The 20,280-nt window shown below is 46.0% G+C and overlaps 1 protein-coding gene across 17 annotated transcripts in view, besides 12 other annotated features; it reads left to right on the top strand.

Moving 5' to 3' along the window:
• The window catches only part of VOPP1 (VOPP1 WW domain binding protein), a 137,539-nt gene that overhangs the window by 40,126 nt on the left and 77,133 nt on the right, over positions 1-20,280 (top strand). For 16 of the 17 annotated variants that reach the window (XM_011515539.2, XM_011515546.3, XM_011515540.3 and 13 more), the window contains one exon: positions 11,247-11,305. In XM_011515539.2, the coding sequence (XP_011513841.1) occupies positions 11,247-11,305 (59 nt within the window). Of the gene's footprint in view, positions 1-5,496; positions 5,643-11,246; positions 11,306-20,280 lie in introns of those variants that run through there. The other variant, NM_001321251.1, reaches the window with a different exon arrangement.
• Positions 1,977-2,026: an enhancer, noted in NCBI's record as "active region_26025". NCBI's record gives its function as "activates an Ori minimal core promoter by ATAC-STARR-seq in GM12878 lymphoblastoid cells {active_cell/tissue: GM12878}" and the evidence as "EXISTENCE:reporter gene assay evidence [ECO:0000049][PMID:35858748]".
• Positions 7,222-7,723: an enhancer, noted in NCBI's record as "H3K4me1 hESC enhancer chr7:55592347-55592848 (GRCh37/hg19 assembly coordinates)". NCBI's record gives its function as "activates a minimal SCP1, AML or CMV promoter by ChIP-STARR-seq in primed H9 embryonic stem cells {active_cell/tissue: H9 hESC(primed)}" and the evidence as "EXISTENCE:reporter gene assay evidence [ECO:0000049][PMID:30033119]".
• Positions 14,418-14,667: an enhancer, noted in NCBI's record as "active region_26024". NCBI's record gives its function as "activates an Ori minimal core promoter by ATAC-STARR-seq in GM12878 lymphoblastoid cells {active_cell/tissue: GM12878}" and the evidence as "EXISTENCE:reporter gene assay evidence [ECO:0000049][PMID:35858748]".
• Positions 14,738-15,217: an enhancer, noted in NCBI's record as "active region_26023". NCBI's record gives its function as "activates an Ori minimal core promoter by ATAC-STARR-seq in GM12878 lymphoblastoid cells {active_cell/tissue: GM12878}" and the evidence as "EXISTENCE:reporter gene assay evidence [ECO:0000049][PMID:35858748]".
• Positions 14,738-15,385: a biological region, named in NCBI's record as "H3K4me1 hESC enhancer GRCh37_chr7:55584685-55585190".
• Positions 14,880-15,385: an enhancer, noted in NCBI's record as "H3K4me1 hESC enhancer chr7:55584685-55585190 (GRCh37/hg19 assembly coordinates)". NCBI's record gives its function as "activates a minimal SCP1, AML or CMV promoter by ChIP-STARR-seq in primed H9 embryonic stem cells {active_cell/tissue: H9 hESC(primed)}" and the evidence as "EXISTENCE:reporter gene assay evidence [ECO:0000049][PMID:30033119]".
• Positions 15,238-15,307: an enhancer, noted in NCBI's record as "active region_26022". NCBI's record gives its function as "activates an Ori minimal core promoter by ATAC-STARR-seq in GM12878 lymphoblastoid cells {active_cell/tissue: GM12878}" and the evidence as "EXISTENCE:reporter gene assay evidence [ECO:0000049][PMID:35858748]".
• Positions 16,397-16,556: an enhancer, noted in NCBI's record as "active region_26021". NCBI's record gives its function as "activates an Ori minimal core promoter by ATAC-STARR-seq in GM12878 lymphoblastoid cells {active_cell/tissue: GM12878}" and the evidence as "EXISTENCE:reporter gene assay evidence [ECO:0000049][PMID:35858748]".
• Positions 16,567-16,616: an enhancer, noted in NCBI's record as "active region_26020". NCBI's record gives its function as "activates an Ori minimal core promoter by ATAC-STARR-seq in GM12878 lymphoblastoid cells {active_cell/tissue: GM12878}" and the evidence as "EXISTENCE:reporter gene assay evidence [ECO:0000049][PMID:35858748]".
• Positions 16,787-16,856: an enhancer, noted in NCBI's record as "active region_26019". NCBI's record gives its function as "activates an Ori minimal core promoter by ATAC-STARR-seq in GM12878 lymphoblastoid cells {active_cell/tissue: GM12878}" and the evidence as "EXISTENCE:reporter gene assay evidence [ECO:0000049][PMID:35858748]".
• Positions 19,072-19,593: an enhancer, noted in NCBI's record as "H3K4me1 hESC enhancer chr7:55580477-55580998 (GRCh37/hg19 assembly coordinates)". NCBI's record gives its function as "activates a minimal SCP1, AML or CMV promoter by ChIP-STARR-seq in naive H9 embryonic stem cells {active_cell/tissue: H9 hESC(naive)}" and the evidence as "EXISTENCE:reporter gene assay evidence [ECO:0000049][PMID:30033119]".
• Positions 19,594-20,115: an enhancer, noted in NCBI's record as "H3K4me1 hESC enhancer chr7:55579955-55580476 (GRCh37/hg19 assembly coordinates)". NCBI's record gives its function as "activates a minimal SCP1, AML or CMV promoter by ChIP-STARR-seq in naive H9 embryonic stem cells {active_cell/tissue: H9 hESC(naive)}" and the evidence as "EXISTENCE:reporter gene assay evidence [ECO:0000049][PMID:30033119]".

Raw genomic sequence — 20,280 nt, 5'->3', positions numbered from 1 at the left:
CATGTAAACCTCAAGGCAAGACAGAAATACCTCTCTCCAGTCTGTAGACAAAGAACCAAAGCTTAGAGACCTTCGGTGACCTGACCATGGTTGGGTCACTGTTCAGGCACAGAAGCAGGCATGCGGCAGGTGCTGTGTGTGTTTATTCTAGTAAGTCACATTGTCTTTAAATGTGGGTGGCACCATCATTTATTCAGCCTTTAGTCAGACTTTAGTCACATCTCAGCTTTTCAATTTCTTGTGCTCTTTACAGTTAGAATCTAGACTTACAGAAATATATGTCATCAGAGAATCCAACACACTTTTCTTCTAAAATAGAAGTCAAATAGGTAGGGTAGTACACAACCCAAATGCAAAAATCCTTATGCATTTTTTGGCATTTTGCCCTTGAAGCTGCTCCACTTATTAATCTTTCTGGGCATTTCTGTCTGCAAAAGGTAAGAAGTTGATATTTTCTCTTAAGTGTGGTGGTTGAGTTTTGGATCTGCTGGCCAAGATTTAGGCCCAACTGGAGGAGAGTAGTCTTTTGGTACATATCTCAGTTATTTCATTTTGGGGGCATAGTAGTTGGAAACAACAAGCCTGTTACTCTTCTCAGACATGTATGAGATCATCAAAGCCGGGTGCCCAAATCATAGACTAGGAGGTGGCAGAGCTGATCTGTTGACTTTTTTTTCATAATGTTACTCTTGCACTCTGCAATTACATCAAAAAAAGATGACTTTTTCTGGGCGCGATGGCTCATGCCTGTAATCCTAGCACTTTGGGAGGCCGAGGTGGGCGGATCCCCTGAGGTCAGGGGTTTGAGACCAGCCTGGCCAACAGGGTGCAACCCCATCTCTACTAAAAATACAAAAAAATTAGTTGGGTGTGGTGGCGCGTGCCTGTAATCCCAGCTACTTGGGAGGCTGGGGCAAGAGAATCGCTTGAACCCAGGAGGCAGAGGTTGCAGTGAGCCAAGATCGCACCACTGCACTCCAGCATGGGCGACACAGCGAGACTCCCTCTCAAAAAAAAAAAAAAAAATTCTGGATTAGGCCTTTAAGGAGAGCATTCAAAGGTTTGGTCCTGTTCATTGCTTTTGTTGGAACTGAGCTGATAACAAAGGTTTATCATATTCATTTATTGCCAGCAGATAACAGTAGCACTGATATTTCTATCTGTTATCGCTGCTTTCAGGCTATTCTAATGAAGTCTCCCACTCATGAGTTTTTTGAATGAATGATGTTTTGTGGCATTTGGAAAATTTGTCACATGAACCCTTTTGGCTGCAGGCCTTATATTCATTTTATATAGTTCTGTGCCTAAAATGGCACCTCTAAGTATTTTTGGCATCTAAAAAGTGATTTCTGAGAGTGAAAGGATGCTTCATGGTTTGCACCCTGGTGGGCTTTGGGCTCCTTGACTTTGCTCCTTTCCTTTCTCTTGTGGTTTGTTCCTGGTGGGCTGGCCATGCTGATTGCAGAGACAGTTTCCTTAGCAAAGCTGCTGGACACACTTGTGTTTGATTTCTGCTCCTGGAGATGCAGTAATTGACAGTGTTGAGAGGTGAGGAATGCTGAAAGGTAGAATTCCTAATAACTCATAAAAGGTTATTTTGGGGGCATGGAGATCGGGTCTTTCATGTGGATTCAGTCATTTTAGTTTTCTTCTATACAGCAAAATAATGCCTACAATAAATCTCATTCCTGTTCCATGCACACGATGTGACAGACATTCCAAAGGGTGGGTCGTGGATTATGATGACACAGAAAACTTCAGCTTGTAGACATTGCCACAGAAAGCACACAGACTTTGGAAACCAACAGACCTGAAGTCAAATGCCGACTTTCAGCTTGCTCCTGTGTCACCTTTGCAAGTCAATTCACCTCTTCGAGACCTTAGTTTGCTCTTTTGTAAACCACCTAACTCTCAGGGTTGTTACAATGTTAAGTGAGATTTCACATGAAAAGCACCTAGTGGATCACAGGCATTCCATGTATGGCAGCTACTGTTTTTTGCCTTCTGATTGAGCTGGAATGAAAAGAGTCTTACATCATTGGTCATTAGGGAAATTCCAATTAAAATCACGATGAGATACCAGTACAGTACTAGATGGCTAATATCAAAAAACAGATAATAAGTGTTAGTGATGATGTGGAGAGACTGGAGCCCTCTTACATTGTTGATGGGAATGTAAAGTAGTGCAGCTGCCTTGGAAAATAGTTTGACAGTCTCTCAACAAGTTAGGTAAGGAGTTACTGTGTGACCTGGAAGTTCCACTCCAGGTCTTGGAGTGGAATGTACGTACCCATTCCACTTTTCTTAGTATGTACCCAAGAAATTAAGATATCTGTCCATGCAAGGACCTGTGTGCAAATGGATATGGCAGCATTATTGATAACAGCCAAAATGCAGTATCAACCCAGATGTCCATAGGCTGGTGAATGGATAAACAAAATGTGGTGTCTTCATAGAATGGAATATTGTTCAACACTAGAAAGGAATGAATTGCTGATATATGCAGCAACATACAATCCAGACGTAAGAGACTGTAAGTTGTATGATTTTCTTTAATTGAACCTTATAGCAAAGGCAAGACTATGGATAAAGATAGAAAGCAGATCAGTATTGCTTGGGGCGCTGGGGTAGGAGTTGGAATTGACTGCAGAACAACATGAGGGAACTCTCTGAAGTGAAGGAAAGGTTCTGAAGCTGGATTGGGGTGTTGGAGGCACAGCTGTATACATTTCCTAAAACTCATCAAACTATATCTTGAAAATGGGTGATTTTATAGTGTATAAACTAAACCTAAGTAAATTGAGCTAGAACTTGGATCACCTGATCCTTCAAGTATCATGAATTGTGATTTATATTGATAATTATGTTTTAAAAGATAGCATAGTTTTCAGAACGCTTTTGTTCAGCAGGCATGAGTAGGAGCTCCTGGGTGCACATGTGTGTTGGGTCTTGCAGCGAATCCAGTCTTTTGCACTCATTGAGGACTCTTTTTTTTTTTTTTTTTTTTTTTTTGAGACGGAATCTTGCTCTGTCACCCAGGATGGAGTGCAGTGGCGCCATCTCAGCTCACTGTAACCTCCGCCTCCCAGGTTCAAGCGATTCTCCTGCCTCAGCCTCCCAAGTAGCTGAGACTACAGGCGAGCGCCACCACGCCCATTTTTAGTAGAGGTGGGTTTTCACTGTGTTAGCCAGGATGGTCTCCATCTCCTGACCTTGTGATCCGCCAGCCTTGGCCTCCCAAAGTGCTGGGATTACAGGCATGAGCCACTGTGCCCGGCCCATTGAGGACTCTTATGTGTCCCTTGTCTCTTGCCACAACAGCCTCTATCATCAGAATTGAAGGCTTCAGTAGGGAGATATTTTAAAAAGAAATCACACCATCCAAATATAACACTGTGAATTTAGGCTTATGCTGTTACATTCTTTCTCCTATGAATATGTTTATTTTTACATTGTTGAAATTAAATATATATAATGTGTCTTAAATTAACTATGACATAAACATTTTCCATGATAAACTTTCTATGAATACAGCTTTAATTGCTGACTCTGTATTTGTTTGAGTACACCCTTTCTAGCCTTGTATATTATTTCACAAACTTTATTATTTTTATTTCATTCCTAGCTGGAGAATGTTCTTTCTTGTTAACAGTTATATTTTCTTATTTTAAATATTTTTCTTTTTTTTTTTTGAGACAGAGCTTGCTCTGTTGCCCAGGCCGGAGTGCAGTAGTGCGATCTCAGCTCACTGCAACCTCCGCCTCCCGGGTTCAAGTGATTTTTCCTGCCTCAGCCTCCCGAGTAGCTGGGATTACAGGCATGCGCCACCACGCCCAGCTAATTTTTGTATTTTTAGTACAGATGGGGTTTTACCATGTTGACCAGGCTGGTTTAAATATCTTTTCATATCCAGTTTTCACTTCTTTTTTGGGTACTAAGTGGTCTGCATTTTAAAGTAAAATTGAATAGAGATTTAAAAATAAAATGTACAGGTTCCATACAGGAAACTTGGAGACTAACAAAATGTATAGTGGAAAACAATCATCTCTAGTACCAACTGAAACATAATTAGTTGTCAGTATTTCGGTACATGGCTTTCCATATTATTTTCTGTTTCCTATAATGTATAACAAAAAATACAATTCTAGATGTACTATTTTATTGACCTTTTTTTCTTAGCAAAATATTCCTCATTATGTTTGTCTACATTCTGATAGTAAATACCTACAAATACATCTTTTGGATGTCTTATAATTTTGTTAGCAAAACCCATTTTGAAAATGTTGGTTATTTCTAGTTTTTTAAATAACATTTGTTCTCAATTGTTTAAACTTGCTGAAATTACATACATTTTAAAGATTTTTGATATATATTGAAAAATTGTCTTCTTGAGGCATTTTATTTTCCCAACAATTATGTGATTTTTTTTTTCCCTTATGCTCTTGTCTGCAAAGGGTACTCTGGGATTTTTTTATTACTAATTTGATGGGTTAAAAACCATACTATTGTAATTTATATTTGGTTATTAATGAATATTGTCTCTTAAAATAGGTTTATTGGCCTTTTGTGTTTCTTTGAAAAATTCTCATATCTATCACTTTATTTTTCCTGTTGGAATTTTTCTTTTTCTCATTGAATCATGTAAGTCTTTATTGATAAAGATATCAGCCCTATTTGGGTAGTTTCCTCTGCTTCTACCTTTTAAGTTTGGTTACTGATTAATTGTCACCTGCTGGGGATGAGGCTTTTTACCTACTGGAATGAGGGTCCATGAGGAGGTCTCCTCCCCTGTCCTTCTGCTGAACACGAAAGCAGGTAAAGCAGACCAGCTGTTCAGAGTCTAGGAGAGTTGACAGAATTTCCCTGGGGATCTGTGGTTGGGCTTCGTTTAAGGTTTACAGCCTGCATCCCCGGATCTCATCTCTGATCGTTATTTGCTGGCTGTGTGTGAATTTCAGGTGTGGTTTCTTCTATAAGACAGGGGTATCTTTTATTTCTGTTATTTTCTTAAGGGTTTATCTGCTTTCTTCCCTCTAAGAAATGGTGCTTGTGAGAAGCCTCATACTCTCATCTCTAAAAAAATCAAGGTTTCTTGGAGATAAGACATTCCTGAGAAACAAAATGTCCATAAACCTGGGGATTAAGTAATTAGCATTTAGGGAACTGATTGAAATTCCAGTACAGGAATTTAAAGCATGGTCGGTCCTATTTATTAATTGAAATTCAGAGACCTTGAGATAATTGCTTGTCATTCCCTGCATAGATTTTCTCTCTGCATTGAGCAGGCTACCCCCTGCCCTCTGCTTCTGTCCCTGGTCCTGAGCATCAAGCCTGCCAGCACCCATGAGGCTCCCTTTGTTCTCAGCCTGTGCGGAGTGTAACGAGCCCACTCTAATTGGGCTCAAGCTGAAAGCAGCTGGGATCTCATTGCCTGTGTGTCAAGTTCTGCTTTTGATGAATGCAGAAGCAGTGTGAGGCACAGCAGGGGGCCCCTCCCTTTTGAAAAAGATGGAGTCCTTGGGCTGATCTTCTTTGGGGCCGTCCCACCATCCTGAAGCAAACCCTGGACTTCTGGCCCGGGACAGACTGTTGGCCAAAGCCGTTGCCGTGATAAGTAACATAAGGATCCTTACTTTCCAGAGGTCAGTGAGACAAGTCCTGTCAGTGAGCTGCTGGTTTGCAAGTTTGTCTGCTATTTATCTAAAGATCTCACCTTATCCCCTGAACTTAAGAAAAGCAGAACAGGTGGAATTTAGGTAAAATCCATGTTGTTTTGGATCCTTGACCCTGCTGTCCACTCCCTCATGTCCCAGAGTCACGAGCTTCAGTTCCTGCCAAGTCAGCTGTGCCTGCCTGTGGTGCGGCTCTGTTTTAGCCTGGGATAGAAAAGGGAGAAGCACTCAACATCAGTGTTGTCCTGCGTCCTTCCTCACTCAGCGCACATGGAGGAGTAATTTATGTCACTATGAGGATTACTAGTGGAGATCAGCAAGGGTTTATTCTCTGGGGCTTATTTAGATCCTGCCTAAATAGGGATAACTATATTTGGGATGGCTTAACTACATATATAGATACCCTAGTCCTTGAACCACGGGCGTCCAGAGTCCTCCTTGAGCAGAGACGTCTTTCAGGCCTCTCCAGTGTGAACTGTTGATCCCCTCAAGGGAGTTGCTCCTGAAGGTTTCCTTGTGAGCCCACACCCTCTGCCGTGTTCATAGTTTGTAAGTTGTATGTTACTGTTTTCATGAGCTCTTCAAGAAGCATGTGGCTCTGCGTATTGTCTCTGCTCTGCACACAGAGGGAATATCCCACAGGTGCTCATGCAGGGCTGCTGTTTTCCCAGAGCCCAGGACAACATCCTGAAAACTGAGGATGCCTGCTAGGTAACAGAAAGCAGTTGACCTCTCCTCACACACATAATTTCTGTTTCCAGAGATGGTTGATCCTTAAGAAATCATGGTAGTAGTATCTTCGCAAAATGTGGGTAGACTGACTTTTCAGAGTGGGCATAAAACCTGGAAATTCACTTTTTTCCCCCTTAGTTTCCATACATTTTAAGGTTTTTTTTTTTTTTTTTTTTTTTTTTTAGAGAGGTTTTTTCCTTTTAGGGAGATTTTGGAAAACTAAATACCGTACACATGTAAGGATTACATATTTAGAACCTTTGTTCTCGAGAGGTTTGGTAGCATTGCTTCTGCCTAGATGATCGAGTACCACGTAAGATGAACCTTGGAAGTTGTTTGTTCCAGAGAAGACACAATTAGGGACAGAGGTGCTAGCTGGTGTGGGATCAGGAAACGATGCCCTAGTTTGGCCAGGCATTTTGATGCAATCTCATTTTCTTCATAAAGCAGGGAAGAGAGTCTGTACTCTTTTTTTTTTTTTTTGGAGACGGAGTCTCGCTCTGTCGCCCAGGCTGGAGTTCAGTGGCGCAATCTCGGCTCACTGCAAGCTCCGCCTCCCGAGTTCACGCCATTCTCCTGACTCAGTCTCCTGAGTAGCTGGGACTACAGGCGCCCACCACCACGCCCGGCTAATTTTTTTGTACTTTTAGTACAGACGGGTTTCACTGTGTTAGGCAGGATAGTCTCGATCTCCTGACTCGTGATCCACCCACCTCGGCCTCCCAAAGTGCTGGGATTACAGGCTTGAGCCACCGCGCCCGGCCGAGAGTCTGTACTCTTACAAACGAGGAGAGTGAGACCCAGACTGGCTGGCGGTGTGGCTGGCAGGTTGCAGTCAGGGTCAGAACACAGAGCTCTGGTTCTTTGGCTCCTCCTTTCCCTGTGGGTTCCCCTTTGCCCGTCGACTCTGGTGCTTCCACGTGACCCAGCACGGGGCCTTCTTTCTGCCTCTTCCCGCTTGCTTGTGAGGCCATATCTGCGTGCCTGCTGGTGATTGGGAGTACTCTGAAGATCCCTCTTATTTGTCCCTGGCAAACTCCCCTTTGACCACAGCTCTAGCTGTCTGGCTTTGTCCTGAGTCCTGGTGCTGGTGCTGGATTTGGAGCTTGGACTTGGTAGGCAGAGACTGCCTTTCTCATCAGACTTCGACTTGGCAGCACCCGGCTCTCAACCCTGGGCTCCTCAGGCAGGCGTGTGCCTCTCCACCTCCTGGTCTCCATTCCCATCACGAGGCTGCGTCCTCCTCAATTGGGCAAGCTGACTCTGACACCTGGTGTTCAGTTAGCAAGCATTTATTGAAGGAAAGCCTCAACAACAACAATTATCAGGACTTCTGTGTCCTCATTTTGGCGTTTTTCAGTTGAATAATGAGACCTGTGACTTTGCATTCTTCATATTATCTGGCTGTCAAATGGAATCATGCCATGCATTAACTGTAGTGAGTTAGTACATGTGTGTAGTATTACGATGTTGGCATTCCTCAGGAGAAAGCTGCTACAAAAGTCCAGCTACCAAAAACAGTGAAGCAGTTTCCAGGATATTAGCAAATTTCAAACACACTAATTTCAGCAGCAACAAAATGGAGCTACACTTTAATGCAAGGTAACTCTGTTTAAAGGTGCTTTCTGTTTCAAGAAATGTAGCCTTAATATTTTCTTAAGAATAGTTTTTGTAAAGGAACAAACGGGTTAAATTTTTCAAAATATGATTCATTTGGGTAGCTTAGTGAGAAATGATAAAAGGTTATTAGCAAGTAACTGAGCAAGGGTAACCAACAAGTAGGCAGCTCTGAAGTTAGGGAATATGCCAGAAAAATGCGGGAAGAAGAGTAGGATGGAAATGGTGCCCTTCACCTGGGAGGGCCCCAGGAAGGGCTCCCAGAAGAGTGAGTGTCTGTGTGAGTCTCCTGTGAGCACTGACCTCACAGGCATCTACCCTGCTTAGTTGCCCCTGGCCTAAAGGGGACATGTGTGATCATGTCATGATAGTCTTTTATAATCTTTTCAGTCTGAGAAGTGGTTTTAAAAAATACTTTCTACTTTATTATCTGAAAAAACATTTCAAAAGTCAAACTACATAAAAAGATATACTCAGAAGAATTTTGCTCTTGTCCTTGTCTTTTCCACTTCACCCCACCCACCCTCCACGGGTAAGCATTTTCATTAGCTTTTACAGAGACAGATCTCTAAATTTAAAACATTTTGTTTAGGAAGTGAGCATTGCAGTCTGGGCCATGTACTGGGTGGTCTTCAGTATGTGTGAAGAACAAAGAGAAGTTTGGAAGTTTTATAAAAAGGAGAAATGTAAGGGATTGTTTTGAAAGAGAGTTGTTCATTGGCACTAAGTAAAGTTTTGGGGAGCTGGCAAGCTCTCATTGGTGTGCAAGCTCTCACTGGTATGTGATGGGGCTGGGTAAGCTAGTCTGAGAGTCAGGGCAGGCAGTTTCAGCAGCCAGGCTTGCCGAGAATGACCTGAGTGCTTTGCCCCTCTGGCCTCGACTCTGTTAGTTGGGTATGACAAGAATGACCCAGTTCTTATGATCAACTTTCACATACTCTGTCCTTCCTGTGATTTTTTTTTTGGAAAAAAAAATGTATTGGTATGTAATAATTGTACATATTTATGGGATACCTGTGATGTTTTGATGTGTGCAAACTGTGATTCTTTTTGTGTAAAGCAGGCCAAATGTACACGTTTCCTTTTGCATCAAGGATGGCATACTGGACGTATGTTTTTGTTTTTGCCTATGCTTTTTCACTAACACTGTATCTTGGGGATCATCTCACACCAGTTTTCAGAGGCCTTTGTTCTTGCTGGAGGTGGGCAGAGTGGGTTCCTCAGGGGAGCTCTCGTGAGTCCAGAAGACACTGTGCTGGGGGCTCTCTGTTTTGCCACCACAAAGAAGCTGTGTGACCCAGAAGAAGACACCCACCAAGGGCCCTGGTGCCTTAATTTGTGAAGTGGTATTCCTCATATACCTGTATCCCAGAGACAATGTTCATTCAGAAGTGTGGCATTATTTTGTCTGATTGGAAGAAAAAGTCCTTTCTGAAATGCAGTGCATTAGTGATGGAGATGTGCTGCCAGAGTATCAAGTGGCTGCTTTGGATCTGGGAATGCTTTAGACCAAGAGGAATTGCAGAAAAGGGCGCTATGGAGGCCAGAGCCTGTCCTTATTTCCAGTGCCAGCCCTTTGCACCTGGCTCTCGCTGCGTGGCTGTGGCCTGTCTCTGCGGAGCAGCCCTGGAGCAGCCAGGCCCCAGGCAGGTGGGGAGCTTCAGGCTTGTGTTCTGATGTTCCCTGGCCTCACCTCTTGATTGTGTGGAACTTAAGTGTCAGGTTCCAGGAATGTTTGGCTGTCGGTGGCGGTGATGGAGAATAAGGGAGACCTGTTTAAAGTGACACATGGAAGGCAGACCTGGTTTCTCTGTTTATCACAGAAGACTCTAGTGAAATGAATTATAATTTGGGGCAGAGACCTGAAATTGCTCTTCTGTGCCAAAATAAATTGATTTCGTCAGCTGTCTGAGCTTCATTTCTTAAACTGGACAGGAGCTAACCTAGTCTAAATAAAACTCATTTTCCGTTAATAAAACTAGGTCACTCCAGGCTGCCTGAGTATGCTTCTGAGTGTCTTAAAGCACATTCTCCAAAATCCAGGGGTTCATGTCATTTTCATAACCCATCGAATGTCACTGGCGTGACGTTGGCACTCACCTCTCCCATGGCATGCCACTGTAGATGTGGGGCCTGTCTCTAACTCCATTCCAGCTGCAGGGCAATCGTGGCAGGAGGGCATTGCTGTACACCTGCTGGGGCTGCGGACAGGCTAGGAGGGAGCTGATCCAGCCACCCTCCCACCGGAGGAGGGGCTTTGGGCAGGACGGCCCTGCCTCACCCAAAGAAAGCTTTGTTTGCCGTCCCTTTGCCAGTGTTCCTGCTGCTGGGAGCTTTGCACCATAATGTTTTGAAGGTTTTATTTACACATGGGGGCCAATAAACTAGATCATGGAAGTAGGACGTTGTGAATGTAAAACAAAAATGACAGCACGAATGGAATAATTTTAGAAAAGCCTTGTTCAGATGGGAAGAGCATCTCTGCATAGAGAGCTCCCTGAGCAGTGGGGATGCTGGCCTGCCTCACTTGCTGGAGGTTTGTGAGAGCCTCCAGGTGGCATCTGGCCCCTGCTCCGATGCCTGTGTGCACTCACCCACCCTGCCCTGCCCTGCCCTGCCCTGCCCTGTGGGGCTGGGCCCTGCCTCCGGGATGTTAGGAGCTGGACTTACCTGGAAAGCCCAGGAGAGGCTCCCATTGTCTTTCCTTGTTCCTTCTTTCTCTTCCTGCACGTGAGAGGGCAACGAGTGAACCGTGACTCGCAGCATCTTGCAGACGTAGGTCGGAATGCGGCTTTAGCATATTCTGAAATATACAGCTCTAGAAATGCTAAATCTATTGGAGATGTCTCTCTAAAACAGAAATTGGGGGGCAGTGGCAATCTTTGCAGTGCTTTATTTCTAGCATTCTTTTGTAATCTGAAGTATCATACCAAGTACATTTTAAACAGTGGATTGTCTTTAATTTACCTTTTTAATAAAATGCTGACACTCAGTGTATATAGAGATATGAAAGGCTATGAAAAAATAGAAAAATAGATGTTTTAAAGAAATAGAAAGTCATGAGAAAGGGGGCGGCTCTCCCTGTAATGCATTGTCTGCCCCGATATCCCAGCTTTTCATGGGTTAAGCTGTGTCTTCTCATCCTTCTTTCTGCCTTTGTGAGAGCTTCTCAACAACATGCAGATTCCTGAGTACTGACAAACTTTTTCTTGCTTCTATTTGCAGTGCACAGAAGCCAAAAAGCATTGCTGGTATTTCGAAGGACTCTATCCAACCTATTATATGTAAGTATTTGCACCTTTCTGTGGTTTCATTCTGTGGCCATACCTTTCTCTGGGAATTGTCTTGCTAAAGTTCTGGGTGTGGGATGGGGAAAGCCCGGCGTGGCCCAGCCTCTGCTGCGGTGCCAGGCTTGCCTCACTGGGGGATGAGCAGGTGACCTCACCGTGGTGTCTGGCCCACTCAGACCAGTTACGTTGAGGACAGCCTGAAATTCTGTGCCCTGTTCTGTGATGCAGGTGAGCTCACATGTGAGGGTTTAAAGGGGGCGAGATGTCTGTGGAAGGCAAAAGTTATGTTGGCTTATACACATTTTCCTAGTCAAAGAGAGAAAGGATCATAGGAGCAGACTTATGAGCTTGAGCAGGACAAGAAACAGTCCTCAGCGGAGCCACTGTGACAGTGTGTGTGTGTCTGTGCGTATGTGTAGGAAATCACAATGATCGCCTGTCTCTGAGGCCTCCTCGCCAGAGAGCTGCTGTCACAGCCTCTCATGGCTCTTGGCTCAGAATGGGTTATAATCCTTCCAGTGCCCCCTCAGTGTCTGCCAGTCTTTCTGTAATGAGGGCATTGCTGCATTTTCTTCCTGTCGTTTTCGTGTGTTTGTAATATCTGCTGTGGTAGCCACCAGCCCTGTGGAGCCACCTGCCTCAGTGACCACATTAACTCTCCAGGTTATCAGTCACTGTTTTTGATTCTGTTTTGAAGTTCCTTAGGTATTGAGTCGAATGCCCTAACCAAATTTTCCCGAAAGCTCTATTATTTTTAGTATTGAATTTTGTAAAACCTGAGATTCCTCAGGCATATATATTGTAGTCTAGCAGAAACACTATATATTCTAGCATATAGGGTAATTGGATAGGAGATATATAATAATAGGAAAACGCGTTATTTTTTTAATCTGCCAGAACATACATTTTTCTTACCTGTCATTATTATTATTATTATTTGAGGTGGAGTCCTGCTGTATCACCAGGCTGGAGTGCAGTGGTGCAATCTCGGCTCACTGCAGTCCCTGCCTCCTGAGTTCAAGCAATTCTTGTGCCTCAGCCTCCCTAGTAGCTGAGATTACAGGCGTGTGCCACCACGCCCAGCTAATTTTTCTATTTCTAGTAGATATGGGGTTTCACCATGTTGGCCAGGCTGGTCTCGAACTCCTATCCTCAAGCAATCTGCCTGCCTTGGCCTCCCAAAGTGCTGGGATTAGAGGCGTGAGTCACCTCGCCCAGCCTCTTACCTGTCATTCTTGAGGAGCCCAGTGTAGGAGGGAAGGGCTGTGTATCTGTGAGTGCGGGTAAAGCACACGGAAGCTGGCCATGTTCGTCATCTTGGTTTCATACTGACAAGCAGGAGTCAGTGTGCCCCATGGCGTGGGGGCCCTGGAAGGAAGCCTCTGCAGCTGCAGAAAGACAGACCCCACTTGGAAAATAAAACAGCAGCATAAGGACTTGGGCTCTAATTACAGAGTTGTCAGGTTGAAGAGAAGTGGTTGTGGGATAACAGGAAGAGAAAATATTTTGGTTCTTCTCAGCATAATGAATTTTCATCAGTACGCCTATTTCCTTGTTTAGCTTTTTGCGCAAATGTGGACCTTTCGCCTCCTCCTGTGTGCTCTTCCTTAAAACCCTATTTCTCCAATTGTTTTATAGATCAGCTTTGTCAGAGCTTGGGCGTCAGAGGTCATTGCTGTTCTTGTATTGACTTGTTCATTTGTTCTTTATCCATTCACTTGTTCCCTGCATATTTTGAAAGTGTTTTGCATTGCATTGAACTGGAGACAGGGGATACAAAAGACAAGCCCTGCTTTTGTCACTCAGTCCTGTGGCCCAGTTTCCTTTCGCGCTTTTCTCTTCCAATGGTGGGGAGAAGGATCCAGAGCTCCCTAGGTGCACTGTCCAGAAAAATGGAAAAGTGAAGTCACCATGAGAACACGAAGTTCAGCGTGAGAGTACCAGCAGGTAACAGTTATTGAGTACTTACTCCAGGCCCCGGCATTGTCCTGTGCCCTGTACGTAAATTAAGGTCTTCGGATCTCATGATGCCAGGAAACCCCAGCCCCACCCACTAGTCTTCTCTGTTCTGCCTCTGGTCTTTCTGTTTCTCCCCTCTGTTCCCAGTGTCCTCACCCGAATCCACATCTGTGAATGTCCCTCTGAACCATTGCCGAAACTTTCTAGCTAGTCTCCTTTCAGCCTCTTCTCCTGTCCAGTTCTCACGTCTTTGTAAATTTCCATGTCACTTTTTTGCTTAAAACCATCAGGAACAATGCCTTTTAACAGTAGACTTTCAAGAGAGCGTCTGGCTTTATCTTCCTTCTTTATTGTGAATCTCATGAGGGCAACAAGTTATAAATACTTGGCTTCCCAACAAGCGTAGGATAGTGCCTGGCACACAGCGGCCATCCTTGATGTTGAGTGGATGCATTTCCTTGCAGTTCCCACCATGCAGTCAGCAGCGCCAACCCATGTAGGGGACCTTTGATCATTCCCCAGTTCTCTCAGCCTCTTCTGACTCAGTTCCCTGTCCCCATAAAAGTTTGTTCCTCCCCTGCTGTTTTGGCTGTGAGAGAATGCTGACAACACCAGCAAACCACCACGCGGCGAGTGCTTCAGTATGGGGCCGTGGCCTGTGCATTCCATAACCCTGCTGCCTGGCCCAGTGTGTAGCACCTGATGTTTGCAATCATGTTCGTGCAGAGTTCACATATTTGCTCTGTTACTTTTTTATTTAATTGAGGTGAAATTCAAAGAACAGAATTAACCGTTTTAAAGTGACCCGTGCAGTAGCATGAAGCACTTTCCCTGCATGTGCGGTCCCCACCTCTGCCTAGCACCAGCCTTCCCATCCCTCCACTCTGTTGTTTACCAGCTCTGTGACATTGTCAGCTGCTTCCTCTGTAAGACGTGACTGCGAATTCTGACCTGCCAGGTTTGAGGCACAGGACTTGCACACGGCCAGTGCAGAAGTCCCATAAGAACATAACCTACCCAAGGCCAGCTCACCTCTCTGTTACATATGCTCATGAGATTAGTGCTATAGACTCAGTGTGCCACTTCCCTGCACATGCGAGGGACGACAGTGTCCTGACACAGCAGTGAACCCAGTGTGGTGCCAAGGAGAAAGTTGTTTTTTTGGGGCCAGCCAGCACACATGGGGTGGCTTGTCCAATACCCTCACCGGTCCAGATATTTAATACTCAAAAACTGTCTTCTCCAAAGCTGTCTTCTCCACTGTCCATCAAGTTGGGGTCATGAAGCATTTTTCTTAAAGGGGAATGAGTAGAAATTGCTTAGCTATATTCTACTCCATCCAGTCTTGCTCAAGGAGAGGTCTGCTGCAAGCAAGAGACGGCGGCTACACCCCTACTGGAAGTGCTTGACCTGCAGGAGGCACAGCTGCCCTAGAGTTAACCTTGAGGGGTACGTTATTTTTGATCTCTGAAGCCCACTGTGGTTTCTGCTGCCTTGGTGGAGAAGGCAGTGCAGGTACAGGAGACTCACATCCAGCCCAGCTCGCCCTGCTGCTGGGGGCCTCAGGCGGTGGGGATGCAGGAGAGGCTGGCGGGCTGCCATTGCACACTGCTGCCGGCCTGGCCTCTGGACACATGGCCAGTGTGCAGGGTGCTGTCCCGGGGATGGTGATGGCTGCACTTCATTCATTCCATCCACAGGTGTCTGTGGAGGGCCCACGACGTGTCAGTTGTGGTGCGTTGTGGTGTGCAGGACAGGGAAGGTACCTATGCCTCATGCAGCAGTGGTATAGTCATGTGAGAGTGACTAGTCATTTCTGAAGCATCTTCAACATCACATTAAAAAAAAACTTAAATTAGGCCGGGCACGGTTGCTCATGCTGGTAATCCCAGCACTCTGGGAGGCCGAGTCGGGCTGATCTCCTGAGCTCAGGAGTTCGAGACCACCCTGGGCAACATGGTGAAACCCCGTCTCTACTAAAATAAAAAAATATATATATATTAGCTGGACATGGTAGCACAAGCCTGTAGTCCCAGCTACTTGGGAGGCTGAGGCATGAGAATCGCTTGAGCCCCAGAGACAGAGGTTGCAGTGAGCCACACCACTGTACTCCAGCTTGGGCTACACAGTGAGACTCCGTCTCAAAAAAAAAAAAAAAAAAAAAAAAAAAAAAATATATATATATATATATATATATATATGTAATGGATCTCATCTAAAAAGTACATTTCTAGTATATTCTACATTTCATTTCACCTGGGTAAAGTGCTAAGATTCTCCAAAACAGATATTCCTTACAAATATGTTGACTCAAGGTGGTGTCCTATTTTGTTAGAGGTTGTTTTCTTTCCTTCCCCTGCAGAAAATATATTTCAAACAACACCTCTGTTTTGTGAGTGTAACTCACCATGCGGAATGCATTGAGGAGGGAACATCTAGGTTGCAAACTTGTTGTAGAGATTTTACTCCTATATTTGATAATCTGATTTCATTTTGTCTCACCGGAAATCCCAGGTGGCAGCCGCCTTCTCCCTACTCTGCCTGTCCCTGCATTTCATTTCAGCGTGCCAGTTAGTAAGCTAACAGAGACTGAGCTCTTTTAATGAAATGTAGGTTTTCTACTGTAGCTACCTAGACATACAAAATTACTCTCACCTCTTCTGATTTCTTTGTGCTAAATGATCTCTCTCTTTCTACCCTGTCCTGCTTCAAGGTTTATTTCATTTCCTTAATTTGATATTTTTCCATTATTGGTCTGGAAGACTGTGTATTACATGTATAAACAAGATATTCTTATTTTTGAAGAAAAAGACCCTTTGGGATCTGAACAGAAAAGCAACACATTCCTGTTCCCTCCAGTAATGTTTCTTTCCCCCTTCACTTCCCTTCACTACCTGCCTTTCCTGTTGCAAGCTGCCCTTCCAAGAGCTCTGATTAAAATGTGCCTTTCTGTGCTTTGGTTCAGGGCTTACTAGGTGTCTGCTCTTAGTAACATGTGATTTAAAAATAGCAAGTGGCTGTGTGGCCTCAGCAGCTCCCGCCCCTTGGCTTGCATTCTCTCCTCGAGTTGAGCTTCTGCTTGGGCCTCGCTTCCTCAGCTCCTTTGCCAGCACGGCCTGAAACAGGGGCCACCGTGTGAGCTTCCTGGAGCCCAGAGATGAGAAGATAAAGGTAGGAACTGACCGAGGAGCATGTCCTGCAGGATCCAAAGCAGCAAACAGCACACTTCCCTGTCAGTCCAGAAAGTGCTGCCGACTAAGGTGGCGTTTGTCAGAGAAGAGCCTAGACGCAGGTCCACATGCGGGAACTCAGTCCGATGTTCAGGTGTCTGCAGGGAGCATTGAATCCTCCTCATCAGGTGACAGGGAGCTCCTGTCTGTCACAGAGGCTGTGCCTGCTGCTCCTGTGGCACAGAGGGGAAGTGGAGTGGCATGGGAGGAGGTAGCTCCAGATGCTATTCAGCCTGCGGCTTCAGTTTTCTTAAAAAAGGTGTGGTCGTGGTGCCTGCTGCACTGGGTTGCTGTGCAGTATAAATACTACTGTGCATGTGAGATACAGAGTAAGGACTCAGTCACTATTTGGGATGCCTGTATTCTCCCTAATATTTGCAGTTTCCTTTGGCACATTTTAACACTGAGCTTGGAGAAGACCGGGGGTTCTGTGCCCAGAGGTGGCTGATGGGTCCGCTGATTTTACCTGGGGACCTCTGCTGCAGGGGACAAACTCACCTCGCTGCCAGTCATGCTCTTGGGGACGCTGTGGGAGGCAGCCTTTCCCAGCCCATCTTTGATATCTGCCAGAGGTTACCTGGGCCTTCCTCGGTGCCTGAATGGACACCACCACCTCTTTGTGGGTAGTGGGAGGCCTCTTGGGTCAGGAGCAGTGACTATAAGAAATGTCACCATCTCCATTGAGATTTCCAGCCCAGGTGCTCCTCAGCCCCCCAGAGGCCACCCAGCTTACAGCCACCACCCCTGAGAGGACTTGGGTGTGCGGAAGAGCAGAGAGAGGGCGGTGGCTTGGGAGGCAGCAGCAGGCTGGAGGTGACAGGGCGTGCCTGTATGCCAGGGTGTGGACAGAGACCTCGGGAGGCTCCTCCACAGCTGACAGAGGTGCAAGTGTGTTACACAGGGTCCAGGGCTTATCCAGCAGGAGGCAGAACCCATTCCAGCAGCACTGCACGGCCCCAGCTCACTACAAGGACAGCTGAGACTGCCCACTTCTTTGCATCTACCTTTGCAGCAGGACAGAGCAGAGGATGGCCCCAAGTTGTCCTAGACTAGCTGAGACACAGAGTCTGCCAGATACACAGCCTGGGAATGCAATGGCTGACATTTGTGGAGTGCTTGCCTAAGCACTCTGCGGTGTCATCTCCAGAGAGCTGGGGATGAGTGTCCCTCTCTGTGGCCCATACCCCTCTTTGGTGCATGGGTACCATGCTCCTTCCCTGGACTTACTGTTGCTGAAATAAAACATCTGTGTGTCTCCTCCCTAGACTGGGAGCCTGTCTTGCTGATTTTTATACCTTCTGTGCCCTTCAGGGCCTGGCCCATAGAAGGCACTCAGTATACCTTTAGTAACGGAGACAAATGGTGGCCTAAGGAGGGTTGGAGACGGAGTGATTCTGAAAGCATTCTTTGGGGATGGAAAATATTTAAGGGGCTGGAGTTCAAGAGATCGTCTCTAGACCTGCTATGCCATCAGGTTGTAGTGTGATCTTGGGCAAATGTCCAACCTCTCTGGGCCCCCGTTTCCTGTGCTAGATCACCTTCAAGGGTCTCATCCCGCTTATTCCACAACACCCTGGCTGGCTGCTGGGAATAATTTATAGCCTAGAAAATAAAAGATGAATGACTGAGCAGGCATGTGTGTTGTAGCAGAGACAAGCGACAAATGGGAGATGGATTTTAGCTCATTAAGGGTCCAGCCTGCTTGCCAAGTACAAAGCAACCACCTCATCTCTCCTTCCAAGCTAGTGAGTCTTTTTTCTTCTGCAGGTCTTGGTACTGACATGATGATGTGAGAAAGGGCGCCGCTCCCAGTCAGACGCTGGGGTGGATCTGGGAGCCTGGCTTCACTGGACCAGATCTTGTGGCTCCTTAGACATAATCAGGTGCTTTCTGACAGTTACCCAGACTTCAGACGATGACTGTTTCATGTGACTTTAATAAGCCAGAGAGAGCTGGCTATTTAGATGTGCAAATTTCTTGTTACTGTGAATTGAAATGAATCTCTGTCCCCCAGAAAATTGAGGGTGGGTTAGAAATGGTTGAGTATTCTTGACACCAATGATTTAAAAGTGAAAATAGCCCTGTGGCCCTTTGAAGAGCTGGGAAGAGGAAAAGATTTGGCCCCAAAGGTGGTTCTTTACTTACCTCCATTCTCAGAATGCCGGGAAACCCTAAGACCATCCTCATCTAGTTTTACTGACTTGGCAGCTGACACCAGGAGATGCTAAGTCTCCCTGGGCCTGCAGCATCTTTAGAGGTCTTTTGCATGACTAGGTCACATCTCTGGCTGTCACATGGATGGGGCAGAGCTGCAGGGCATTTGGGTTCTGGGTGTTCTGTTTGCTCACTTATTTTAGTTTTTCCTTCAGATCTAGGTACCACTGAAGGAAAGAATGTGGGGAAGCTTCTCGGAAGTCAACTCCACTGAGACGATAGGGAATTCACACACTGCCAAGCTCAAAGGAGAGCATGGAAGGGAAAAAATGGATGGCTGCATGTTGTCAAACCGCTGGATAAGGGGAAGATAGGATCCATGAAACAGAATTAAGGAATACGATCATCAGTGTCATGGCTTACCTAGTACCTGTAATTTCCAGAGCACCACTCAAGTGGGAGGGAGCCAGTGTGTAGGGATGATGGGAAGTTAGCGATGAGGGAGGCAGGGCCTGTCCTGGAGGAGCCCAGGGTCCAGGGCTTATCCAGCAGGAGGCAGAGCCCATTCCTGCCAGCACTATCGATTTTGACCAGGCTGCTTTCAGGCCCTATTCCCAAGTTTCCTGTTGGAGCGTGAAGCTTCTTTTTAAAGTGCTTATATTACCCTGTGTTGTTGGCTGCCTCTGGGTTCATTTCTCTGCTGTGAATAATTAATGCTGTGAGTGGATGAAGTGCTGTTCACAGGTGTCAAATCAAGATCCAGAGACAAGGTTGGCAGAGCCAGCACCGCTGGGCCACTTTACCTGCCTGCTAGGGGCGCAGGTGCCAGAGTCAGTCCCAGGCTCCCTGGACACAAGGTCACCTCTCACCAGCAGGTGCCCTTTATGGCTCTGTGGACAGACTCTGAGCCTGATGGGGAGGCCCCTCTGTGCAGAAGTCAGCTGGACTCCTTCGCTGAGCTCTCCTGCAGCACTGGGGCCTTCCAGGATGCGTGGAAGAGGGCAATGGGGGCGGGGGCGCTTCCCTAGCTGAGTGCTCCATACGCCTGCTGCAGACCCTCACTATTTTGCCGTCAGGAGATGGAGCACAGCCTTCGGGTTGCAGCCTGGAGGGGGCAGATATTCAAGAGCAGAATTTCTTTTCTCTCAGTTCTTGTTGGATTTATCAATGAAGATTCCTGGTGTAAGTTGAAGACACCGTCTCTATAACAGGGAGAAATTTTCACTGGTGATCTTCTGCTTAAGAACTTTAGACCCCTAAAATGTGACCTTGATTTATTTTTCTTTTCCTTTTTTTTTTGAAACGGAATCTCACTCTTGCCCAGGCTGGAATGCAGTGGCACGATCTCGGCTCACTGCAACCTCCGCCTTCCAGGTCCAGGCGACTCTCCTGTCTCAGCCTCCTGGGTAGCTGGGATTACAGGCACGTGCCACGACACCTAGCTAATTTTTGTATTTTTAGTAGAGATGGGGCTTCACCATGTTGGCCAGGCTGGTCTCGAACTCCTGACCTCAAGTGATCCGCCTGCCTCGGCCTCCCAAAGTGCTGCGATACAGGTGTGAGCCACTGCTCCCAGCTGAGCTTGATTCCTTTTAACTGTACATTGTGACTATGCTTCTAAATCAG

The sequence above is a fragment of the Homo sapiens genome, chromosome 7 (assembly GCF_000001405.40).
Source record: "Homo sapiens chromosome 7, GRCh38.p14 Primary Assembly".
Classification (NCBI taxonomy): domain Eukaryota; kingdom Metazoa; phylum Chordata; class Mammalia; order Primates; family Hominidae; genus Homo; species Homo sapiens.
The sequence above is the reverse complement of the archived record's forward strand: the minus strand, read 5'-3'. Positions and strand labels throughout refer to the sequence as shown.